The sequence below is a fragment of the Homo sapiens genome, chromosome 1 (assembly GCF_000001405.40).
Source record: "Homo sapiens chromosome 1, GRCh38.p14 Primary Assembly".
NCBI lineage: Eukaryota > Metazoa > Chordata > Mammalia > Primates > Hominidae > Homo > Homo sapiens.
The window spans coordinates 73498023-73505669 of NC_000001.11; the positions used below are offsets into that span (position 1 = coordinate 73498023).

The following is a 7647-nucleotide window of genomic DNA, read 5'->3' on the forward strand; positions in this document are numbered from 1 at the left end:
ACACAGACATAAATATAAGAAAAGACTTATCAGTGGTTATTACTGAGTGTTAACATTATGGATTAGTTTTATATTCTTCATTACTCTCATCTGCATTTTTCTGAGATTTTACAATGACAATGAATTACTTTTATGTTAAAAATAAAGAGGATAATTTTAAGTAGCTACACCACACAACACAAATGGTTATTTTGAGGGTTAAATAAAACAGTATATAATAATAATCTAGCAAAGAACTCATAACAGATATTCAATAAATAAGTTAATTTTAGTATATTAATTCTAAAATTAGCAAATGCATCCCTTTAAGATTAATCCATGCACAGCTTTTAGCCCTGAAAGTAACTACTGGACACTAAAAATTAGAACTTACAGAATCCTTTATAATTTTTACTTCTTTACCATCATATATCTTATATTCCAAGGATGAAGCGAGAATGAAGAGAATAAGATGAAAACAAGAGCAAGATATTTTCCTACTGCCTTATAATTGTACAATGTTTCAGATGCAGGGATTCTCAAGAGAGGTGAAACTCAAGGAAATGTCATTTACTGCTCTAGTTTTCTCAAACTTTACACAATCCACAAGCATATTGGAACAAAAATGGTGGGGAACGTAAGAGAGAGACTGGAAAAAATGCTCATCAGGTAATTATAATACCCCCGCCTCCCCTCCCTAAAATCAGCTGTTTTGATCTCTTTATTATTCTCCTTCTGCAGTGAATTCATATGGAAGCTACAGAAAACCTTTCTATATGATTTTGAATGAATGGGATGAATTATATTTTATTAAGTTGATCAGAACCATAAATCCAATAATTCCAGATCACTCAGTGATAGTTATTCTTTTGAAAAAAACTTATATTTTGTATCTTTTTGGCATCTTGGTGTTATGTTTACTTGAGAGAGGCAAGTACTAATAGGAATGGGTCTTAGAATACTATATTTGTGATATCTCACTCTTGCACAACTCTTGGAAGGCTTTGTAGGCACAGGCCATTAACAGTGATAATGTTTACCTTCTCTCAGCCTGACACAAATGTACAGAGAGCTGGTGCACAATATTTTAAATTTCTTATCATGGTCACCTTGCAGTTAACTGGCATATTCTTCTGGCTCTCCCTTTCCTAGACCTCTGATCTGTTCCTATAGTCAAAGTTTCTCAAAGTCCTATTTACTAAAAAGGACAATAGCCAGTCCTCACAGTCCATTTCTGAAGGAGGCATCTTTCAGATTTTTCATAACACTTTCTACAAAAGCAATAAAGCCTACCACATGCTCCATCCCCCCAACTCCCACTTTTAATTATTACTTATACTAAATATGTGATGGTCTATTATGGTTAACACAATCTTTACTTTTTTTGATGCCTCCCCATCATCCCTTTAAAACAAGAGTAAAGAGCAGAAGAAAGAAATGGATGAAGTGGATATAAGACCTGTCCTGCTACACAAACAATATTAAGGTAAATCAAATATCCATCTTACAATTCAAAATGACAGTTCTATATTCAACTATTGCACCTCTATAAGTTATTAGAAAACCAGCAGGATGAAACTGTTCCATGTAACAGCATGGTGGTTTCTTTAGAAAATCATTCATTATATAAACCACTTACCAGTTCGTTATAGGACAACTACCTCTGATATATGACAAGTAAACTGTACAAAACAAAGACCTCTCTAACAGGCAGTGAGACCCTATGACTTCTTCTGGATGGCTTTCAAATTTTAGTCTCAACATTAATTCAATGTTGCTTCAATTCCTGTTTCTCAAAACGTTGGCATTTGGCTGGTAATTAAGCTTATCTGGGCTTGCAGGCTTGGCAAACTCGGGAACTTTTGGCACTTTCCTGGTTCTAATTGTCACTGTTGTGAAGAAGAAAGCATTAGCTTAATAAGGAGAACTATGAGTTGCAAAACCAGAGTTAGAGCTTTTCCTTTGGTTGGCAAACCATCACATGTGTGCCAGAAAAGAATATAATAAAAGGTTTGAGGTTGCCAGTGGAGAGGTGGTAGACATAAATCCAAAGGGCCTAGTGAATTGCATGTTTAGCCTTGAAATAACATTTCTATAGAGCACTGCAGAGAGAATGGGAGAATATCAGTCAGCTAGACTGTATAGTATGAGAACACCATCACATAGCTGACTTTTAAAAATAACGCTGCAACCCAAAAAGGCACACATATACTCACAAACATTGCCATGTAGTCAGAAGTTGGAGAACAGCTGTTGTTACAATGCAAGAGTATGCAAATGGGAGAATGGCAGTTTTAATTGCTAAGAGCCCTAAGGGCAAGCTATACTCAGCAATATGAATTAGGTGCTATGGGACAAAGAGAATAACTTCTGCATGGGTAGGCCATCTGCAGTACAATGATCTTGCCAAGAAACATGCAAATCCGAAATTGACATTGCAAAAAAGATACTAGAACCTTGGCATCTCCATTGTTTTCTGAACCATCTTGGGTAAGACAGCTTCCAGGCCAATCTGGTGGCCAAAACAAGCAAAGTAAGTGGATTTCAATCATTCAGTGCTAAGTTCCTAAGTGTGCTCTTGAACTGTGCTACTTACAACTGACTTTACAGAAGGGAAGGAGATAGGCACATTCTGGATGGGAGCAGTGCTACTTGGAACTCTCTTCCTTCCAAGGTGCTTATATGCCTAGGAATATGTATTAGTTTTTCTACTGCTGACACAATAAAGTGTCATAAACTTAGAGGCTTAAAACAACACACACTTTTTATCTTACAGTTCTAGAGGTCAGAAATCCAAAATGGGGTTTAAGGGCTAAATTTATTTTGTCAACATAATTGTGTTCCCTTCAGAGGCATTATGGGAATGCATTTTCTTGCCTTTTCTGGCTGCTAAAGGCCACCTACGTTTCTTGCCTCAAGGCCTCTTCCTCCATCTTCAAAATGCATTACTCCATCTGTCCTTCCACTGTGACTCTCCTGCCTTTCTTTTTCAACATTTCTCCTTACTACATTGGGTCCACCTAGATCGTCCAGAATAAACTCCCTCATCTCAAAATCCTTAAGTTAATCACATACGCAAAGTTACTTTTGCCATGTAAAGCAATATATTCACAGATCCAGAGATTAGGAGGTAAACATCTCTGAGGGCTGTGAAAAAAGGGAAGACAATTATTCTATATGTCATAAGCTATTTGTTTACAGTCATATGTATGTACATCTCTATAGAGAAGGGAGAAATTCAGTTTCAAGAACGTCAGAAAATACAGAAAGGAAAGAAGACACAATCAGAAAGATTGAAAAGGACTCAACACACTTGTAACAATGATGTGCATATATATACACCATTTAGATATGAAAGGAATGTTACCAAACTATTGTAAATGGCATACATATTTTAAATTCTCCTTTATTTGTAGGATCAGATAGAGTGACAACTGCAACTTTTCAGTGAGTCTTCTGTATTAGCAGGACCAATCTACATTTATACACTGAAACTGGCTCACCAGCTGAAATGAGGCTTTGGTGCATACCCTCGAACTTGTGAGCCCCCTTGTAGTCACTTATGATATTAGGTCATATCTGCATAAAAAGTGAATATTAGGTTAAATATTTAAGAATATATTCAATTCCACTCAGTAAGTATTAAGAAAAGGAGCAATGTAGGGTCATGCTCCAGGACAAAGCTGCAAGGAACTGACAAAGAGAATGTCCTCTCTTTCCTTGCTAAGTTCAACTCCCACCATGCACCTTTATTAGTTCCCTGAACAAATTATATTTCATTCACATTTCTCTGCCTTTGCCTTGAGCCATTCTCTCACCCATAATGTATCTCCCCTCTTTTCTCTGTCTATTAAATTCTACGTCGTATTTCAATTCTCAGCTCAAAGGCAGTCTCTGGGAAATTTACTTCCATCTTCTCCAAGTGACATTAATCACTCATATAGTGGAACTACCGTGGAACTCATAGTGCTTTAAGTGGTACCACATTTTAGCCATCTCCATGCCCTATACAGAAGTTCAAGTACTTTTCACATCTCTAATCAATACATGTGAGTTGTATTGAATTGGATTGTTTCATAAAAATAGCTACCTTGAAATAATTTATGCCATTTAATTAAAGGAGGTTCCCATACAAGATAAAAGGGAAAAAAAACAAATTTCTCTAGCATCAGAACAGTGACTCTTAAATATTCACGTGTTTAAAAAGCAGCTGGATGGTTTGTAAAAGCAGATTCCAGATTTCCATTATCAGAGAATGAAAATCGGTGGGACTGAGGTGGATCCCAAGGATTTTCATTTTAATAAGAATCCATCCAGAGATACACTGATCTGAGGAGTCCTGGATTACACTTTGCCATACATTACCTCAAAAAAAAAATGGTAATTCCAATGGACAGATGTACTTGCAGAGAATTATCTCCTCTGTAAGTGTTAAGTAAGACCCTCTTTTAGTGAATAATTTACTTGATCAATGGAGTCCTCCATAGTGATGGGGTAGGGATAATAGGTATGTTGACAAAAAATGCAGTCTTTAAATCCCTAATGCCATCTGGAAAGTAGCATCTGCTGATGAACTTGGGATTTCCTGTCTTGTACCATATGCCATAAAGGCCAGCACAGGGTCTTAAATATATTTCTTTACACAGAACTCTTTGAGAAAAGCAGAATTAACTCCTAAACTGTATACATTTTGAAGAAGACATAGAAAAAAATAGAAGTGAAAAGGAACATCTAGTATGTCCTGTGTTCTACCTAATTTGTATCTAATTACAAATACGATACTTGCACACTGCATGTATCTCCTGTCCTCAGACCAGCAATTTTTTATTGTATTTGACTATTTCTCAGTACCTGAAACTTTAATGAGAATATACTTGTGAGATGGAAGGAAAACGTAAGTTTATAAAATAAATTTACAGATGATGTTCTAATTTCAGAGTATTTTATACTTAATAAAGATCCTACTCATATGTTTTGTAGCATTTAGGCTTACTAATATGTTAAATTACACACACACACAAACACACACACACACACACACATATGCCATATCATTAGTTAATCTTATCTTCAAATTAGACTTTGGCTTATTAGTTAGAGCATGCCTTTCACGGCTCTCTCATTTCTTCCACTCCATAAGGTGTCTCCTTCCATAATTGGCTCACAATTTAATATACCTAGAATTAATATCTAGATTTGATTTTGTTACAGGTATGCTACTTACCACTTCTCTCTACCCACATGCGCATTTTATTGGTGAAATAGTATATCCTAATTTAAACCAAAAAATTAACTGATTTACTGCCAAGGAAATATTTAAAAAATATTACCAAAAGCAACCATAGTGTTCTTGTCGTGTCTTAGCAAACAGTTTTTTTCAGTAGTACTATTCCCTGTGAGTACTATACCTTTTCTTATATTTTCTCTATGCCACTTGGCAGAAATATGAAAGAAATTATTTCCTCATTCAAACCTACTCTTTCAAAACAATCATTTAGGAAACTAAAAAATAACATAAATGTTCAAAACTCTATAGGCATGTATCAACTTATTCTGTAGTTTAGAATATGCCTGATCTGAGGTAGTTCCCACACCCGTGTCTTAATATTGCTGTGCATATACAGAAGTAAAATACTTAATTAGAATTTTTACGAGTATATATGTATACGGGGAAGAGGGAACAGGATAGGGATACAAAATATAAAAAGGATTTGTTCACTGACCTTAAAAGCTTTTTACTGTAAGAGGAAAAAACTACCATGTACATCACAAAGGCAACACAAAGAAGTGCATGTTATGTGCCATTATAATATTCCACGCCCTTTGGAAGAACAGAAGTGAATGGGAAAAGAAAAGGTATGGTAAAATCAAGAAAGACTTCTGGAAAGAAGCAGCAGCATTAGAAATTAAGAACATTGTCTGTGAAGTCTTTCACCAGCGAGGAGTGGGGTTGTGAGGGAGAATATCTGACATATCATTAAGAACATGAAAAAACTAGAAGGCAGGAGGGTACAGAGTAACTTTGAGGAAAACCATAGAATCCATGTTGATGTGTGAAAGGAAATCATTTTTTAGATTGATTCAGAAATGGGGTAAATGAAAAATAGTTATGAACCTCAAATTTTAAGCGAAAGAACTAAGAATATATTCTAAAGTCATTGTAGACCAATGAAAAGTTTCTGAATAGGAAGTGGTGATATAGTTTTGAGAGAATTTTGAACTAGTAAAGAAAAATAGGCCAAGAGATAATTGTGGGACTTCCTCTTCTGGTCAAGATGGAGTAATAGGGTCTGACATCCCACCTGAAGCAATTAAAACATTCAGACAAAATCTATGAAAAAATAACATCAAAGACATTGAAAATTAAACAACAAATATCAATGGTCCATGAGAGGTTGTAAACAAAAGACGTAGACACTATGATTGCTGCAGCTTGTTACCTAGAAAAAATTTCTAGGTAGCCCTCAGTTGAGGGCATGAATCTGAGTCCAGAGAAACCAAGGTGAAAAGAGTTTACTGAGCAGAGTATGGGCAAGGACAAAGATGCATAGAGAAAGAACTCCTGAGATCTGCACAGAATTCCTCTAAGTATTTATTCAAATACTGATTATCTTATGCATATGAGGATATCATCTGAGCCCAGAGGGAAAAAAATGACTTAAAAGGAATACAAGGGACAGTGACTGAAGATCACTTAGCCAGGTAAAGCTCCTGTTCCCAACAGTAAGAGCAGAAAACCTCATAATAAAATAGAGTGCTAACAGAGAGATATTCTCAGTAGCTAGGTAACATTAACCCTAGACTAAATAGTGCTGTACACCTACTGACAACATGTAGTGGGCAGGATCCTAAAATGGTCCCCAAGATTCTTGCCCCGTGATATACACACTCTATATAATCTTGTCCCATTGAGTACGGGTATAATCTGTGGATACAATGGAATTTTATATTCAAATATAGGAGATATGTTCTATAGCAAAGGCGGAAGGATTGTGGAGGTGTAATTAAAGTTTCGAGTTAGTCTTTAAATTAATGAAAAGAAAGATTATTTGGGTTGGGCTTGATTTAATCAAGTGAAAGCCCTCAAAGCGGGGCCTGGGCCTTTTTGGAAGAGAGTGACTTTACTGCTATTTTTTTGAAAAGGTAAGCTGCTGTGCTGTGAGACGGACACATGTCAAGGAATTGAAGAGGCCTCTAAGAGTTAAAAGTGGAACCTGATTGACAGCCAGTCAAATTGAGACTGCAGTCCTACAACTTCAAGCAACTTAATTCTGCCAACAAGCATATGTGCATGTAAGAAGACCACGAGCTCCAGAAAATAATGCAGCCCATCCAAGAATGCAGTCTATCCAAGACTGAGACCTTGAAAAGAAGACCCACCTAAGTGCTGTGTCACCTAATCCACAGAAACTATGAGATAATAAATGTTTGTTAAGTCACTAACATCGTGATAATTTGCTCTGCAGCAATAGAAAACTCCTACACTAACTAAACCTAAAATTAAGACCCAGAAGAATTAAACAGTTCCTAAGTAACTTTGCTATGTCTGAGAATAAAGTTCAAAGATACTTATAAGCATACAAGTCCCAAAATCCAACAAGATGAAGTTTACAATGTCTGACAACCAATGAAAATTACCAGTGATACACAAAACAAGAAAATGAAAAA

The 7647-nt window shown here is 35.9% G+C and overlaps 1 long non-coding RNA gene across 1 annotated transcript; it reads left to right on the top strand.

The window, feature by feature from the left end:
• The first annotated feature begins 570 nt into the window (after window positions 1-570).
• LOC107985391 (uncharacterized) lies at window positions 571-7347 on the top strand. The gene is made up of 3 exons (XR_001737792.1): window positions 571-648; window positions 1396-1465; window positions 7123-7347. It is a non-coding gene; the product is annotated as an uncharacterized LOC107985391 (long non-coding RNA).
• Window positions 7348-7647: the final 300 nt, after the last annotated feature.